Source organism: Homo sapiens, chromosome 14 (assembly GCF_000001405.40).
Source record: "Homo sapiens chromosome 14, GRCh38.p14 Primary Assembly".
NCBI classification, from domain to species: Eukaryota; Metazoa; Chordata; class Mammalia; order Primates; family Hominidae; genus Homo; species Homo sapiens.
Genome location: NC_000014.9, coordinates 18630179 through 18648968, shown reverse-complemented (window position 1 = coordinate 18648968; position 18790 = coordinate 18630179). Strand labels below are relative to the sequence as shown.

At 41.7% G+C, this 18790-nt stretch overlaps 1 long non-coding RNA gene and 4 pseudogenes across 1 annotated transcript; 3 read left to right on the top strand and 2 right to left on the bottom strand.

Moving 5' to 3' along the window:
* On the bottom strand, positions 219 to 17581 carry LOC100420172 (fatty acyl-CoA reductase 2 pseudogene; annotated as a pseudogene).
* On the bottom strand, positions 2464 to 2978 carry LOC100422529 (pleckstrin homology domain containing B2 pseudogene; annotated as a pseudogene).
* Positions 2748 to 3924, top strand: SSBP3P4 (SSBP3 pseudogene 4; annotated as a pseudogene).
* Positions 11654 to 14851, top strand: USP10P2 (USP10 pseudogene 2; annotated as a pseudogene).
* LINC02297 (long intergenic non-protein coding RNA 2297) lies at positions 15335 to 18433 on the top strand. Its single transcript, NR_046104.1, has 3 exons — positions 15335 to 15504; positions 15765 to 15873; positions 17438 to 18433. It is a non-coding gene; the product is annotated as a long intergenic non-protein coding RNA 2297 (long non-coding RNA).
* Positions 18434 to 18790: the final 357 nt, after the last annotated feature.

Sequence of the window (18790 nt, the reverse complement as noted above, 5' to 3'; positions counted from 1 at the left end):
GGTTCATATTTGATTGGCTGCACTTAGCTATAAATCCTGAGGAGGAGGAAGAGGAGGAAGAGGAGGAGGAGGAGGAGGAAGAGGGGAAGGGGAAGAGGAAGAAGATGAAGAAAGAAGAAGGAGAAGGAGGAGGAGGGGGAGAAACGACATCAGAAAGTAATTGGGCTAGAAGAACTTTAATTTGGAAGCAAAACAGAGAATCCAGGTGAGTGGGCTTACTGGGAAAGGCTCATGCCACGTTGCTCCCACAATGGAGGGCCTTATGATGGCGATGGTTAGGTTTCTGCTCTCCTGCTGCACCACCATTTCTCCCAAGGCCTTGATGTAGGTGCAAGAATTGGGCGGATCTCTGATCAGCTTGGGTGTGATCTCGTCAATAACAGCGTCGTCTAACCACGTAAAAAGTAGTCAGAGTGAAAAGAATTCTAGCAGCATATGTTAGACAATAGACCAAAAGGAAAATGTGACACGCAAATAGTCAAACAAAACTTCCACCTTTTAGCCTTGGTTCTGGAATTTAGTCACACAATACCAAGTTTGAGGGCATACCTGTTCAAAGCATGCATGAGCTCTTTGCTCTTCACTGCTAAGCCCAATCTCATCAGCCAAATCCTATGCCCTCCCATCTAGAGAGATAGGTAGGTAGAGAGACCAATAGAATCAATAGCAATACCACTTTATTATTACTACTAGTATAGGGCTATTAGTACTACTTTATTAGTATGACTTTAGCACTACTATTTATTTATCAATTACTTTACCAATACTACTACTTTATCTGTAGTAGTACTAAACTGGAGGTTATTACATACAACCTCTTTACTTCCTCTCCAAGAAGCTCCTAAGTACATTCATTGCACACATTTTTGAGTTCCAGTCATTCTCCCAATAGTGTGCTGGAAGCTGTGTTCAGGGAGTTTGAGGCTCTCATCCAAGGTGTTTCAGTGGCAGCCCTGTTCAGTGTTGTCCCATAGAAACCTGGTGCAGTGATCCTGAAGAGTTTAGCTTTACATTTAAAAAATTTCATTCAATGCAAATCAAACCAAAGTGACTACTTTTGGCAGACTGACAATCTCTTCTAGCAAATCTATGTAACGCATTTTGAAGGTCTGTTTAGAGTCTGTGCTAATAACTTGCTAATTATTTCCAGAGATTTCCAATGAATTCGAAGTCTGTCAAGTGGGGTGATTATAGTACTCTGAAATTGCTTCAAAATCATGAATATTGAATTCTCCTACTTATAATATGACATGTATCATGAATAACTGAGTTACCATAGCATCAGCCTAATCTTTCTTAAAAATATGTCAGAACTGGCCTGGCGGAGTGGCTCACACTTGTAATCCCAGCACTTTGGGAGGCCGAGGCGAGCGGATATTGAGGTCAGGAAATCGAGACCATCCTGGCCAACATGGTGAAACCCCGTCTCTACTAAAAATACAAAAATTAGCTGGGCGTGGTGGCACATGCCTGTAATCCCAGCTACTTGAGAGGCTGAGGCAGGAGAATCGCTTGAACCCAGGAGTCGGAGGTTGTAATCAGCCAAGATCGCACCACTGCACACCAGCCTGGTGACAAAGTGAGACTCCATCTCAAAAAAAAAAAAAAAAAAGAACCATTTGATAAACCCAAAGTCTATCTACACATCTCTAAGAGAGCAAAAAATTATTGTCAATTAAATATGTAACATTTATTCTAGCTGAGAGATCTATGTGCTTAAATTATTGATATAGCGTTTTAAAAATTAAGCTGCCATTCTAACTGGTGTGAGATGGTATCTCACTGTGGTTTTGATTTGCATTTCTCTGATGGCCAGTGATGGTGAGCATTTTTTCGTGTGTCTGTTGACTGCATAAATGTCTTCTTTTGAGAAGTGTCTGTTCATGTCCTTTGCCCACTTTTTGATGGGGTTGTTTTGTTTTTTCTTGTAAATCTGTTTAAGTTCTTTGTAGATTCTGGATATTAGCCCTTTGTCAGATGGATAGATTGCAAAAATGTTCTCCCATTCTGTAGGTTGCCTGTTCACTCTGATGGTAGTTTCTTTTGCTGCACAGAAGCTCTTTAGTTTAATTAGATCCCATTTGTCTGTTTTGGCTTTTGTTGCCATTGCTTGACATAGGAACGCTTTTACACTGTTGGTGGGAGTGTAAACTAGTTCAACCGTTGTGGAAGACAGTGTGGCGATTCCTCAAGGATCTAGAACGAGAAATACCATTTGACCCAGATTCCATTACTGGGTATATACCCAAAGGATTATAAATCATGCTACTATAAAGACACATGCACACGTATGTTTATTGCGGCACTATTCACAATAGCAAAAACTTGGAACCAACCCAAATGTCCATCAACCATAGACTGGATTAAGAAAATATGACACATGAGACCAGCGGCGGCGGCCGCAGCGGTACTGGAGGCGCAGAGGGCGGTGCAGGCGGAGCCTGGCGAGCACCTGAGCTAGCAGAGACCTGGCGGCCTTTCGGGAGGCGGCGGCGGCGGCACCCCAGGCCCAGCCGGCACGGGAGGAGTTCCAGGGCGATGGGGCCTTGGTCCGGGCTGATGCTTTGACAGCTGAAAAGAGCGCGGAGCCAGCGCCTGGTCGGGAGGGAGGGGAGCGCGGCGAGGAGAGCGCCAGCTAGCGAGAGAGCGAGCGAGCGCCTGGGAGGGGGCCGGGAGCCAGGGGCAGCTCGGGAGAGCCGGAGCGGTGGCGGCTGTGGCGAGGCTTGGAGCCCTCTTCCCTGCAAACCATGTTTGCCAAAGACAAAGGCTCGTTGGTGCCCTCGAACCGGCAGGCTGGGGAAAAGTTAGCTTTATACGTCTACGAATATTTACTGCAGGTAGGAGCACAGAAATCTGCACAGACCTTCTTATCGGAGATTCTCTGGGAAAAAAAAAAAAAAAAAACATCAGGTTGGGAGAACAGCCTCGGTTTTTGCACTCGTGGTGGTGTGTATTTTGGGACCTTTACTGTGCAGCTCCTAAAAGGAGAGACACTTGTGAACATTCAAGTGAAGCAAAAGCCTTTCCTGATTCTAGTGCAGCAGCTGCCCGGAGCCCCGTGCTTGGCAACATTCCCCCCAAAGATGGGATGCCGGGAGGCCGAGTCTCGCCAGGTTTCTTTCAGTGTCCTCCGGGGTCACTGCCCTCACCGCATGCACAGCCTCCACCTCACAATCCTAGCAGCATGATGGGACCCCACAGTCAGCCTTTTATGTCACCGCAATACGCAGGCGGCCCCAGGCCCCCCGATCAGAATGGGAAACCAGCCTCCTCCGGAGGAGTTCCTGGGAAACAGCCATTGCTGCCCAATTCCATGGATCCCACACGACAACAAGGCCACCCCCACATAGAAGGATCAATGCAGAGAATGAACCCTCCCTGAGGCATGGTGCCCATGAGTCCCAGCCCACAGAATTACGGCAGTGGCATGAGACCACCACCCAATTCCCTTGGCCCTGCCATGCCCGGGATTAACATGGGCCCGGGAGCCGGCAGACCCTAGCCCAATTCTAACAGTGCTAACTCAATTCCATACTCCTCCTCATCACCTGGTACCTATGTGGGACCCCCTGGTGGTGGTGGCCCTCCAGGAACACCCACTATGCCCAGTCCCTCAGATTCAACAAATTCCAGCGACAACATCTACACATTGATTAATCTGGTGCCACCTGGAGGCAGCCGGTCCAACTTCCCGATGGGTCCCAGCTTGGACGGTCCGATGGGCAGCATGGGTGGCATGGAGCCACAACACATGAACGGATTGTTAGGGTCAGGCAACATAAATGACTTCCAAAAAATTCTCCTAACAACGTGAATAGTATTAGCAGTCTTCCAGGCACCCCTCGAGATGACAGCGAGCTAGGAGGGAACTTCCTCCACTCCTTTCAGAATGACAATTACTCTCCAAGCATGACGATGAGTGTGTGATCCCCCCTTCTCCAAGATGCTGAGAGAGCTGGCATTGCAGGCAGGAAGATGCCAGAAATTATGCAAGAAGTGAGGTGTCATTACCCAGGAGCTGGTGGAGAGGGCATCTCCTGCTCCCCTCAACCCCCTCCCACCCCATCCACGCCCACCTTTTCCAATTTTAGTTTCATGCAGTAAAAAGGCCGAACTTTTTATTCCATAAAACAAAAGAAAGAAAGAAACAAAGAAACAAAGAAAGAAAGAAAGAAAATGTGGCACATGTACACCATGGAATACTATGCAGCCACAAAAAGGGATGAGTTCATGTCCTTTGCGGGAACATGGATGAAGCTGGAAACCATCATTCTGAGCAAGCTATCATAAGGACAGAAAACCAAACACCACATGTTCTCACTCATAGGTGGGAATTGAACAATGAAAACACTTGGACAGGGCGGGGAACATCACACACAGGGGCCTGTCCTAGCGTGGAGGCTAGGGGAGGGATAGCATTAGGAGAAGTACCTAATGTAAATGACGAGTTAATGGGTGCAGCAAACCAACATGGCACATGTATACCTATGTAACAAACCTGCACGTTGTGCACATGTGCCCTAGAACTTAAAGTACAATAATAAAAAATTTAAGCTGCCAGAATATGCTAGTGTGATTTTTCTGATCAATGTGGTACATTTATTTCTATTTTATACAACAGAACATAACAATACTACTTTGATTGTAGAAAATCTTCACTGTTATCACCTTGCTGACATGACACATTTTTGAACAACTAAGATGTGCAGAAGGTTAAGACTTATTCAGAATCACAACTCTCAGTATTAATGCCTCATTTCATCCTGGGGTAGAACATGGGCATTGACTATAATGTTTCCATTTTTCTTGCTTTGCTTCTATGAGTGCTGAGTGTGTTCTGGATACTCAAATGACTTTTCATTTAAATTGAATGGAGAAAGATTGAGGGGTTCTAGAATTAAAAACAACTTAAACTACATAGAAATATCAAGGATATTTTAATTATATGGTCACCTGGAGGCTGGGAAAAAGTGTAGGATGATGCAGACACCTCTCCATCTTAACAATAAGCCTACCTTATTTCATTTGTGGGTCAACAGTGGATTGACTGACCTGAGATCATTTTCCCTCAACTGCAAAAATATACAGTTTATGAAAACCAGGTCTTGAGAAAATAGAGCTTAATATCAATAAGGCTGTAAAGAAAAAATTCCTAGAAAACATCAGAGCCGAACAATGTGCTGGGATTGTATGTCACATGGCTAGTACCAGTTGCTGTCGTTAATGTTGGAGTACATGGAAAGCATAATACTTGGGGGGATGGGGCCTTATAAAGTTTAGTAGCTTTGCTTGTCTTGGAAAATGTTGTTTTTGGTTGTTGTTGTTTTGGTTTGGTTTGGTTTATTTGTTTGTTTTTTTTTTTTTTTTTTTTTTTTTTGGAGACGGAGTCTTGCTCTTGTCCCCCCCAGACTGGAGGGCAATGGTGCAGTCTGGGCTCACTGCAACTTCTGCCTCCCAGGTTCAAGCAATTCTTCTGCCTCAGCCTTCTGAGTAGCTGGGATTATAGGTGCCTGCCACCACGCCTGGCTAATTTTTGAACTTTTAGTAGACACGGGGTTTCACCATGTTGGCCAGGCTAGTCTCGAACTACTGACCGCAGGTGATCCACCTGCCTCGGCCTCCCAAAGTGCTGGGATTTCAGGCATGAGAAAATGTTGGTAACACACATGCAAGAAATTTTAATATTCTATAGATGGCTTGCCTCTGCTGTTGTTATTTACACATGTATTCCACTGTTTAATCTTCTCATTCCAATTTTACTTGTGAAAATAGCAATAATTATATTCATTCTAAATTCTCAGGCTATTATGAGGGTAAACAAAAATTTTCACAACTGCATTTAAGATCTTTGATGAAACAAAATGAGCCAAAAATCTAAGGCATTCCTATTTTTAAAGAAAACAAGGGAGCATCATACATCTGTGTAGGTAATAGTTGGTTTTAAAATGTCATTTCTGGCCAGGTGTGGTGACTCTAACCTATAATCCCAGCACATTGAGAGGCCAAGGAAGGAGGATCGCTTGAGTCCAGGAGTTTGAGACCAGCCTGGGCAACATAATAAGACCCTGTCTCTACAAAAAGAGTTTTTAAAAATTAGCTGGGCATGGTGGCGTGCACCTACTCAGGAGGCTGAGGCAGGAGGATTGCTTGAGCCTGGGAGTTGAAGGCTGCAGTGAGCTGTGATTCTGCCACCCTACTCCAGCCCGGGTGAAAGAGTGAGACCCTGTCTCAAAATGAAGGAATGAATGAATAAAACAAATAAAAATAAATTATCGTTTATAATACAGCCAAAGAGACCATCTGCTAGCTCATTCGGCCACTTCCTAGGATCAGACAGGAGATTAGTGTAAACATGCATATGCACTGATTGGGCAAAGCCCTTCTCAGGACTTTCACTCAATTCAGGGTTGCTGCTGTTGTTTGTTCTCAATATGTTTTTAAACAGTAAATAAGTTAGCATGGATAAAAACCACTATATTAACCAAAATACATGTCTGAAATTAATCTAAATGTTCTTCAGTATACTCAAGAAGATGCTTTGACCCATGGGTCTCAAATACTAAACTCGAATTGCTTCAGAAGAAGCATAAAGTCATTAAAAATTTCAGAAAGCAATATGTGTATGTCTATGTGTGTACATGCATAGACACATACATAATTTCTTCTAAAGATTACTATCAATTTTGGTTTCAAACTTATTGAATCAACATGATGATATCATTAATAGTTACATTATTTATGTATTTACAGAATGAAATGCCAAGAGGCATATGTATTTTCCCTCCCTCACCTTCCAATTTTCTTATGCAACAAGTTGGCAAGCCTAGTGGTTTATGAGGAAATCTGTTAGAGAGTAAGTAGTGGACACACTGTCTTATGATAACATTTGCTCTTTCTTTCTCCAGTCTAAATTATATAGTTCACTTGATTGTTGTAGTTACGAAGTTGTATTTGTTCACGTGTCTGTCTCCCCATTGGACAGTGAGTCCAGGAGAGCAGGGATTATGATTTTTATCTCTGTATCTAATCACTTTTCTGCCCCCAGGAGCCAGCTACCTTATTCAGTAAATGGATGCTCTTCCACATGGTAATCTTGATTGGTCAATTTCTGTACTATATAAGGTTTTGGGAAGCAGAGATGGACAATGATAAGAGAGAGTAGACGAAAGGAAGATGAGGTTATAGGGAGAATGTGGGAAAGGAAAGAAGGGGATATCTTCATAGAGCAGGAAGCAAAATTGGAAGTCAAAGTGTCCAGTGGCAGTGGTGAAAAGTGTTGACCAACCTCGATTTGGTGAAGGTGGCGTCACATCAATTTAAACTTTTCATGGGGAAGCAGGGTATTTCTCAACCTAATGCTTATGTAGAATTGGCCTCTGTATTTCCCTCCAGACTTTCACGGACTACTCAGCCTAGCCCAAACATGAGCCAGATGCCGAATGGACTGCCAATGTGAAAATTATTCGATTTGATTAAGAAACAATTTAATCTTATTCTGGTTTGTATTTAAAGCCTGCTAATATCAAAGTACACAGAATTTTCATTTTTATATCAGCAACTTAGATGCCATTTAGAAGCTGTGCCACCCTGAAATTAAAAGCACAAGTGCTAGAGTCAGCTTTCACCATTCCCCTAGAAGAGATCAGCTTTTTTGGTGTTAACAATGTGTTCTATAGCAGGAAGGCAAGACTACTGTCCAAGATCTGACCTCCTTTCCTATCTCCTGGAGGGCTGTGATGAGGGCCACTGCTGCTGGCTGTGAGGGTCTCCATTTCCCTGCCCGTCAACCCTGTACCCTCAGTGCACACACCACCTTTCCTTTTTTACATTGCAGACTAGCTGTGTCTTCTGGTGGCCACATAGCTTCAGAAGTGTGGTTTTTAGTAGGTACAGATCTACTAGGACCTTTCATTCAGTTAAAGCTTCTAGGAACTGAAAGACAACAGGAGGCGAGGAGAGCAGGAGAAAGAGGAAGCATGGAGTATTAGAAGATAAACGATCCTCATTTCAAATGAAGACTGCTTAATGAAAAATCTCCTTAAGGCACTATTTCCCAAACTTGCCTGTTCATCAGTGTGAATTACACAGGACCCCTGGGAAAAATCCAGACTCCTGGCTGCCATTTTAGAACCACTAAATAGATCTGCAGAGGTAAGAGTCTGGATAATGTGTATTTTCAACATGCCCTGGAAATTCCAACAGTCAGGCAAATTAGGGAATCACTAATTTAGAAGAAGTCCACTCCATCAACTGAATTTGTTAAGATTTGAATAGATCAGGATTAGCTCTCAAAAATGCATTGCTTCTTGAAGTAAACATTTCAACAGAATTAAATTTTGAAAGAATTAAATCCCCTAATGCTATCCCTTCCCTAGCTCCCCACAGGCCCCAATGTGTGATGTTCCCCTCCATGTGTCCATGTGTTTTCATTGTTCAACTCCCACTTATGAGTGAGAACATGTGGTGTTTGGTTTTCTGTTCCTGTGTTAGTTTGCTGAGGATGATGGCTTCCAGCTTCATCCGTGTCCCTGCAAAGGACATGAACTCATCCTTTTTTATGGCTGAGAGTATTCCATGGAGTATATGTGCCACTTTTTTTATCCAGTCTATCAGTGACGGGCATTTGGGTTGGTTCCAAGTCTTTGGTATTGGGAACGGTGCTGCAATAAACATGTGTGTGCATGTCTTTATAGTACAGTGATTTATAATCTTTGGGCATATACCCAGAAATGGGATTGTGAGGTCAATTGGTATTTCTGGTTCTAGATCCTGGAGGAATAGCCACACTGTCTTCCCCAATGGTTGTACTAATTTACACTCCCACCAACAGTGTAAAAGCGTTCCTCTTTTTCCACATCATCTCCAGCACCTAATGTAGATGAGAGGTTGATGGGTGCAGCAAACTACCATGTCATGTGTATACCTATGTAACAAACCTGCACGTTCTCCACATGTATCCCAGAACTTAAAGTATAATAATAATCACAATTAAAAAGATTGAAAATTTAAAATTTTAATTTAAATTGGGCTTTAGTTACTTGCAAAATACATTGTATTTCCAAACAATGTGCAAAACAAAGAGTTATTGTATGCATTATCAATAAAGTTATATCACTTCTCATAAAAATAACATTAAAGAAAAATAATTAAATCCATTTTAGGACAATTAAAAAATGTATCTGTCAATTTTAACTGAAAATTCTCTTACATTTATACATCCCACATTCTAATAAGGACTAATTGACACTTGATTATGAGCAGTAAAGAAATATGTGTTTGCATGTCTGTATACTTATAGACCTGTTCCAATGGAAATATCTATTTGGAGTCAGAAAATCTGTTTGGTCCCAGTTCTCACTAAAAACATGATCTCATTAAAAATACTTAAACACAATAAACTTTACTTTCTCATTTATTAAAAAAAATTAAATCCCTGGCACTAGAAATGTAAAACATGGCAAGTATGCATGTTCTAATCTGGAGTTAATTTGGTATGTGTAATCCCATAAGCAAAGCAGTAGCCATGTCCTATTGTTTTTTTTTCTTTCCCAATACACATGCTAATCTACTGCCTCCCCCAGCCCCTGGCCATATTAATATTACTGAAGCCCACTTTCATCAGTGTCTTTCCACGATGAAAACAAATGAGCAAGCAACCAAAAACTACACAAAACCACATGCACACACATGGCCCTCCTTCAATGGATCTCCACTGCCTAGAGAATTAAATCCAATTCCTCTGCATGGTATGCAAAATCTCCACAGTACGGCCCAACCTGCCTCTCCAGCTTGATCTCTAACTGCTTCCCTACACATAACACATGTGCTGCCAAGAGGGACTTCTGGCTGTGTCCCAAACACGCCTGGGTTTCCCAGCTCCAGTTGCCCTGCCTGGTGTCTGTGCACATCTCACCTATCCACACTCCTCCCACTCTTCCAAGTCACCTCATATGCCTCTCTCCACTCCACCAGACTTAATATGTACTGTTTCCCCACCACCCCACGTGTATAATTCTGCCCTGTTCTATTTGTCTGGGACGTGAGCTCCTTGGGAACAGTCTATATCTTAAGAAAGCACCTTTTAATCTCTAACACTGCCGAGTATGTGAGTAGACTGGAAAGACCATGAGCTTCAGAATCAAGTGGCCATGGATACCTTTCTTGAAAGGTAAAGAAAGTCTTGAGAGACTTTCAAGGAGTTACTTAGCCTTCCTGAGCTTTTTGCTCCTTAATTAGTATAGCAGTGATAATAAATCAACCCTACAATATTAAGTTGTGGAAATAAATGTCTGTGAAAGCATCTCGCTCACAGTGATTGCTCAATAATGACTCATCTCCTCCCTTCCCTTCTTAATTCAGATTTATTAACATATGTTCAATAAAGCAATAGGTATTTGTGATTCCATTTTTCTAGTTCCTAATTCTAGTTATTTCAGGTTTTTATACAGGTGCAGAAGCCCTTTTCTTCTACACTGGTTCCCCTAAGAGGAGTTACCTTGACCTAAAACATAAGAAAAGCACCAACCATAAAACTCTGCCTTTCTTAGTCAGTTATGTGCATTTTAAAAAATAAACTTTCTACTTAAGCTGTTATTCTGGAAAACCAGAATTTCACTGGCAATCCCTGATCCATTTATGCCACTAAATTTCCAAGGTAAATACAGCAAATAGGCAGAAGGTGGTAATATGAAGATAGAGATGAGTCAGGATGGGAACTGGTGGCTGGGATGAGGGCCAGAAGAAAACTACAGGTATAAGAGCCAGGAAAATTAGTTGCTTAACACTGATTAATGGCCATGCTTGTCCTACTCATTACAAACATTAACTTCTCATTTAAGTTATTTTAAAATATTTTTATGCTGACATGCTAAAGTTTTTGTGCTAACAAAATTAAATTTCATCTTTCTGGAATATTTCAGAGCCAAGGTAATCTAAAATTTTTAGATAGGGGCTAAAGAAAGGGAGCTCAGGCCCGACAGTCTCAGGATATAGGCCGAATAGAAAATGGGGGGAGCTGAACAAAGAGAGACGTTAGGCTTGCAAAGGTAGGGACCAGGATGTAAGCATGAGGTTCAAGTTCACAGTCCCATTCACTTTATTAACAGCATTGAGCAGTATCACTGCTGCCCAAGCCATCAGAAAGGTCCTGGCCAAAAATGCAAATCCTTCTTTATCTTCCAGAACTGGAATTCCCATTCAACAGATTTTCTGGAAAAATAAAGTTTCCTTTTACATTGTCATGGCTATTTTTTTGAGATCACAATGCCCAGAGTACAGCTTCTAGATTATCTTGATGTCTAACTCCTGATTCCTTAAGAACAGCTGAAATACTAAGAGCAAATGACAGCTGCTAGACCCCTTGAAGTTACTGTTTAAAAAAAAAAACTGTTCCCTAGCTATTTCTCTGTTTCACTGAAAGAAAAACAAACTCCCAGGGGAAACAGAAACCTAAAAACCTTTGAAAATAATTCTTTTATAACACAGGCCAATTACTAAATAGAGAACTCATCAAAAGTATTTTCTTAAAGCAAAAAAATAAACCTGCATTTAGGTAAATTAATGTTTATTCATAAGGATTTTTAATGTTATTTGTTATTCTAAAACTTGCAAAAATTCCATCTGTTATAGGAGTTATTGAAATAGTCATAGATGGGTGTATGTGCGGGGGAGAAGATGGCGGCGGCGGGGGAGGCAGCGTGAGCAGCCGGAGGAGCGCCGAGTCCCATTGAAACCGGCAGCCATGGCCCTCCACAGCCCGCAGTATATTTTTGGAGATTTTAGCCCTGATGAATTCAATCAGTTCTTTGTGACTCCTCGATCTTCAGTTGAGCTTCCTCCATGCAGTGGAACAGTTCTGTGTGGCACACAAGCTGGGGATAAACTACCTGATGGACAAGAATATCGGAGAATTGAGTTTGGTGTCAATGAAGTCATTGAACCCAGTGACACTTTGCTGAGAACCCCCAGCTACAGTATTTCAAGCACACTGAACCCTCAGGCCCCCGAATTTATTCTCGGTTGTACAGCTTCCAAAACAACCCCTGATGGTATCACTAAAGAAGCAAGCTACGGCTCCATCGACCAGTACCCAGGCTGTGCCCTCGCTTTGGATGGAAGTTCTAGTGTGGAGGCGGAAGTTTTGGAAAATGATGGTGTCTCAGGTGGTCTTGGACAAAGGGAGCGTAAAAAGAAGAAAAAGCAGCCACCTGGATATTACAGCTGTTTGAAAGATGGTGGTGATGATAGTATTTCCGCAGAAGCCCTGGTCAATGGCCATGCCAACTCAGCAGTCCCGAACAGTGTCAGTGCAGAGGATGCAGAATTTATGGGTGACATGCCCCCGTCAATTACGCCCAGGACTTTTGACAGCCCCCAGAACTCCACGGACTCTGTCAGTGACATTGTGCCTGACAGTCCTTTCCCCGGAGCACTCGGCAGTGACACCGGGACTGCAGGGCAGCAGGAGGGGGGTCCCGGGGTTGATTTTGGTCAGTCCTGCTTCCCTGCAGGGGCTGGCAGAGACACCCTGTCAAGGACAGCTGGGGCTCAGCCCTGCGTTGGTACCGATACTACTGAAAACCTTGGAGTTGCTAATGGACAAATACTCGAATCCTCGGGTGAGGGCACAGCTACCAACGGGGTGGAGTTGCACACCATGGAAAGCATAGACTTGGACCCAGCCAAACCCGAGAGTCCATCACCTCCTGCTGACGGCACGGGCTCTGCATCAGGCACCCTTCCTGTCAGCCAGCCCAGGTCCTGGGCCAGTCTCTTTCACGATTCTAAGCCCTCTTCCTCCTGGCCGGTGGCCTATGTGGAAGCTAAGTATTCCCCTCCCGCCATATCTCCCCTGGTTTCTGAAAAGCAGGTTGAAGTCAAAGAAGGGCTTGTTCCAGTTTCAGGGGATCCTGTAGCCAGGCATTGGTTGCTTTCCCGACAATGTACCACCTGATGAAGTTCATTCCTCTGTATTCCAAAGTGCAAAGGCCCTGTACGTCAACACCCAAGGTAGACAGCTTTGTTTGGCTAATGAATGAATTTACTAATATGCCAGTACCTCCAAAACCCGGACAAGCTCTTGGAGATAAAATCGTGAGGGATATTCGCCCTGGAGCTGCCTTTGAGCCCACGTATATTTAGACTCCTGACAGTTAACAAGTCAAGCCTGTCTGAAAAGGATCGACAAGAAGATGCTGAGGAATACTTAGGCTTCATTCTAAATGGACTTCATGAGGAAATGTTGAACCTAAAGAAGCTTCTCTCACCAAATAATGAAAAACGTGCGATTTCCAATGGCCCCAAAAACCAGTCAATGAAGAAGAGCAAGAAAAACAAGGTGAAGGAAGCGAGGATGAATGGGAACAAGTGGGCCCCCGGAACAAGACTTCCATCACCAGCCAGGCGGATTTTGTTCAGACTCCAATCACCACATTTTTGGTGGCCACATCAGGTCTGTGGTTTACCAACAGAGTGCAAAAGAATCTGCCACTTTGCAGCCATTTTTCACGTTGCAGTTGGATATCCAGTCTGACAAAATACGCACAGTCCAGGATGCACTGGAGAGCTTGGTGGCAAGAGAATCTGTCCAAGGTTATACCACAAAAACCGAACAAGAAGTTGAGAAAAGTCGAAGAGTGACTCTGGAAAAACTCCCTCCTGTCCTCGTGCTGCACCTGAAACGATTCGTTTATGAGAAGACTGGTGGTGCCAGAAGCTTATCAAAAATATTGAATATCCTGTGGACTTGGAAATTAGTAAAGAACTGCTTTCTCCAGGGGTTAAAAATAAGAATTTTAAATGCCACAGAACCTATCGGCTCTTTGCAGTGGTCTACCATCACGGCAACAGTGCGACGGGTGGCCATTACACTAGAGACGTCTTCCAGATCGGTCTGAATGGCTGGCTGCGCATCGATGACCAGACAGTCAAGGTGATCAACCAGTACCAGGTGGTGAAACCAACTGCTGAACGCACAGCCCATCTCCTGTATTACTGCCGAGTGGACCTGCTGTAAACCCTGTGTGCGCTGTGTGTGAGCCCAGTGTCCGCTTTGTAGGACACCACCTCACACTCACTTTCCGCCTCTCTTTATTGGCTCTTTAGAGAGAAACTCTTTCTCCCTTTGCAAAAATGGGCTAGAATGAAAAGGAGATGCCTTGGGGTTCGTGCACAACATAGCTTCTGTTGACTCTAACTTTGAAATCAAAATCATTTGGTTGAAACAGACTGTCGCTTGATTTTAAAAAACACACAAAAACCCATATTTCTGAAATAATGCTGATTCCTGAGATAAGAAAGTGGATTTGATCCCCAGTCTCATTGCTTAGTAGAATAAATCCTGCACCAGCAACACTTGTAAATTTGTGAAAATGAATTTTATCTTCCTTAAAAAAGAAATGTTTTAATCCATCACATTTTTCTTCCCTACCCTTTAGTTTTTGATAAATGATAAAAATGAGCCAGTTATCAAAGAAGAACTAGTTCTTACTTCAAAAGAAAAATAAACATAAAAAATAAGTTGCTGGTTCCCAACAGGAAAAAAATTAGTAATTGTGCTGAGGGAAACTGCTTACATAGACATTGCAGATCAAATATTTGGAGTTAAAATGTTAGTCTACATAGATGGATGATTGTAACTTTACTGCCATTAAAAAGATTTCAGATTGCATTCATGCTTCTGTGTACACATAATGAAAAATGGACAAATAATGAAGATCTCTCCTTCAGTCTGCTCTGTTTAATTCTGCTGTCTGCTCTTCTCTAATGCTGCATCCCTAATTGTACACAGTTTAGTGATATCTAGGAGTATAAAGTTGTCACCCATCGATAAAAATCACAAAGTTGGTTTAAAAAAAAAGAAATAGTCATAGATGATGGTATAGGTGGAGAGGGGTTGCTGGGCTTTATGTAAAGTGCTATTCAAAGCTTCACATATAGGTTTCATTCAAACTTTAAGAAGAAAAAAATGAACAATCAGAAATGGGTGAGATGTGGGGATATAAATAGATATTTTGTACATAAGACTTCTGCATCCCCAAATATTAGCTTGTTGTGGAATTCTGTCATCTATTCTTGTTTCAGTCAAAACAAGCAAAAAAAAAAAAAACAGTCAGAACAGTATGAACAACAATCATCTAGTTCCACCAAAAACTTTTCACTCAGCAAGCAAGCAAGCATTGAGTCCCTAGCTGAAGATGCAAAGAGGAGCAAGAAATATTCTCTTCCATTGAGACGGTCATTGTCTAAAGGAAAATGTAGATAAGCAACCAGACATTCAGAATGACCTGTGTTACAAGCAATAATAAAGCTGAGCGCTGGGTACTATGGGGCACTTGGGAAGGCTGCCTAAGCCAGAGAGCTTCACAGGGAGCCTTGATGTCTGAGTAAGAATTAACCAGGTGAAGCAGAAGGGGAAATAGGCTCTAGGAAAAGAGAGCTTTGAGCGCAAAGGCAGGCAGAGTGTGAGGAGAGGAGGCCTTACTTCCTTGTGACTGCAGCATGAAGGTAAGGGGAGGGCTGAGAGAAATGAGGCTCCACAGGTGCTCCTGGATGTCCTAATTAATTTTGAATTAACAAATCATAAGTATGACTTTTTCTCTGTTTTTTTTTAAAAAAACTTTGTTCCTTAATTGCATGCAAAATGTATCTGTTGAGATAAAATAATTTCATACCTATTTCTAATTAGTTGCTCAAATAATTGTTATCCTTGGAGAGCAGTAAATGACAGATGAACATTAAAAATTTTGTAAAAATGTCAATTGCAGTTTGTTCATATATCACGTAGCAATTACCAGCCTTGTCTGGCTGACATATACCTGAGGGAGTGTGGAAAGTGCCGAATGCCTGAAGATAAATCAACTCTTCCTCTGGGAGGTGAGTTTATTCTTCTTTGAAACCCATGGGTATTTAGTGTCTGGAGATGGTGGTATGGAGTACATAGAGAAGCCCTTCATTAGGAGTGAACTCTTACTTATTTTCTCTGATGAACTCTCAGACTATTTTGCTGCCTCAAATTGCACTACGACCTGTCAGGCGTTAGAGAGATCAGCAGTGGAGACAGTCCCAGGAAACAGTCTGGAAACAAAAGGGTCTGCCCCTCTCCTGGGTACATCAAATATGGAAGCATCACATTTGCCAAGAGACAACACCATAAGAGGATAACTGACAGCAGTCAATTCTATCCTGAAAATGCTCTGAGGCTTTAAGCATAGTTTACTGCCTTGACATTGGGCCTCAGAGTACACCTGCCTTTTCTCCCACTATCCTGATAAATTCTGCACTCTAAAATGTTTCTCTGTATCAATGTAGCAAACCTCCATTTATTAGCAACTTTAAGTAACCTCCAGGTCCTTTAGATGACTTTCATTCTTCTTTGTCCTGGACATTTTTATATGACAGACAAAAATATCTATTCTCAGAGCTGGAGGAGATAAAAATGTTTTCCCTGAAGGGAATGAACTCTTAATTAAGCTAAAAGTTTTTAAAGAGTATATATTAAATGTAAATACAGTATTATAGAAAATTATAATGTAATAAATTTACTGTGAAAGAGTCCATTTTTCTGGTATAATACTTTTTATGTAGAGTTTAAAAAAAATTGAACAAAAAGCAAAGTAAACTTAGTGAAATGGAGCAGAATAAAGAAACAGAAAACAAACCTATCCTGAGACCCAAGCTGTGTCCTAGGATGAAAGTGGTTTCTGCTGATTGGCAAGAAGAGAAGAATCCTAGACACTATTTCTCTTGCATAATAGGACAGTAAGGAAAGGGTGTCTCAGCCAAAGAAGTCAAGAGAACTTCTGCCAGATCTTGGAGCAATTCTTATTCTTCGTTAGTTCTTCTTTACTAATCATTTGATTAACTGATATTAAACACTCCCTAGCACTGCAATAAGTGTTTTATATAACTTTATTCAACCTCACAACAATCAAATGGGCCCATTTTACAAATGAAGGACCTGGGGTTCAGAGAGGCCAAGGGACTTTCTCAAAGTCACACAGCTAGTTAGTTGTGGAGCTATGCCAAACTCATGTCAGAATCAAAAATGTTTCTTCTGAAATTTTATACTATTCATTGTACTTGCTTTATCTAGTGACAATGTTAAGTTCATTAAGAAGCGAGAAACCACTTCTTTGTATAGTATTCCCAAGTACCTCATGCAATCCTATACAATTTAGCAAAATGTTTCTTTAAGAATTTTCTATCCCCCTTCTCTTTCAGCAGTATATTCCCCACCAGGGGATGAAAGAGGTAACAGGGACAAGGTAGCTAAGGCCAGCACCGTTTCAAAGCATTTTGCTGCAAAACTGTTTCTCTTCATCGTCTCATTAATAGACAGCTACAAAGAATCAAAGAGAGCAACATTCTACTCACACCTTGATCCCTTTATTTGACCAATTACTCAAGGGAATCGACGATTTTTTTTTTGGCTCCACAGGGCACGGATAAACAACTTCATCGATGTGCTTCAGGTTACCATTTGAAAAGGCAGTAGAGATATGTATAAAGGCTTCCAGCTTTGGCATCTGACTAGCCGTAAGAGCTTCTGGGTGGCAGTGATGTTAAGTTGCACAGCATGTCTACAGAAGATTAAGCAGAAGGAAATACAGTGAGATAAGTCAGCATCATGCCTTGCTATAACTGCACCTACTCCCATAACTGGCATACCTATCAGATTTTGGTGGCTGCACCAAAACACCAGGAAGAAAAGGATGGGGCACGGCTGCACACTTATGTGATACTTGGAATGTCTTATGTATTGATGATGTGTTTGTGTACATAAACCCTATTCACTGATGCACTGTATGGCATATTTAGAGGTCACTTGGCTCTAATCAACTGGAAAAAGAATCACAATCCTCTGAATTTACAAAGGTGCTTCTATAAGCAGCCATTAAAAGAACAAAAACATGTAAATTAAGCATCTAACTGAAGAAATTGGAAAATATAAATAAACTGGAGAGAAGCAACAGTGGATTTTTAAATGAGCAATATAAGTTGTTATAAAGTTCCAGGCCAGACATGAAAATTGATGTCAAAATCTGAAATTGCAACTACTGGAATACAAAGCTATATAGACAGTATGTGATAACAATGAAATACTTCATTCTAGGAATACATGGTTTATCGAATACCAGGAAACTTATTAATTTAATTTAACTCAAAAAGAGAAAAACTATATAATAATCTGTATGTATTTTGAAAAGTTTAAGACGATGTTTAGTTTTCATTTCCAATTTCATTAAATGAATTCACTAGAATAGGAATAAAATGATTAAACAATATGTATTTAATTTGCTAGCCAATGTCATTCTTAATGGTGAAAAGCTAGGAATACTGCTCGTAAAGCCAGGGCTAGAAATAATGCCTGCAGTCACAACTACTACTTAACATTGTTCTGAGGTCCTAGCCTTGTAAGTAATTAGAAAGAAAACTAAAATTAATGAAGAAATATAGATATTAAAAAGACAGTCACAAAAATTACTATAGGATTATATAATTGCATACCTGGAAAACAGAAGCAGCTTTTTTAAAAAGCTAAAGTGTACTATAGTTCAGTAAGGTGTCCACTGATAAAAATTATATAAAAAGGCCAGGCACAGTGGCTCAAGCCTTAATCCCAGCACTTTGGGAGGCTGAGGCAGGCGGATCACGAGGTCAGGAGATCGAGATCATTCTGGCTAACAGGGTGAAACCTCGTCTCTACTAAAAATACAAAAAATTTAGTCAGGCACGGTCGGTGGCGGGTGCCTGTAGTCCCACCTACTCGGGAGGGTGAGGCAGGAAAATG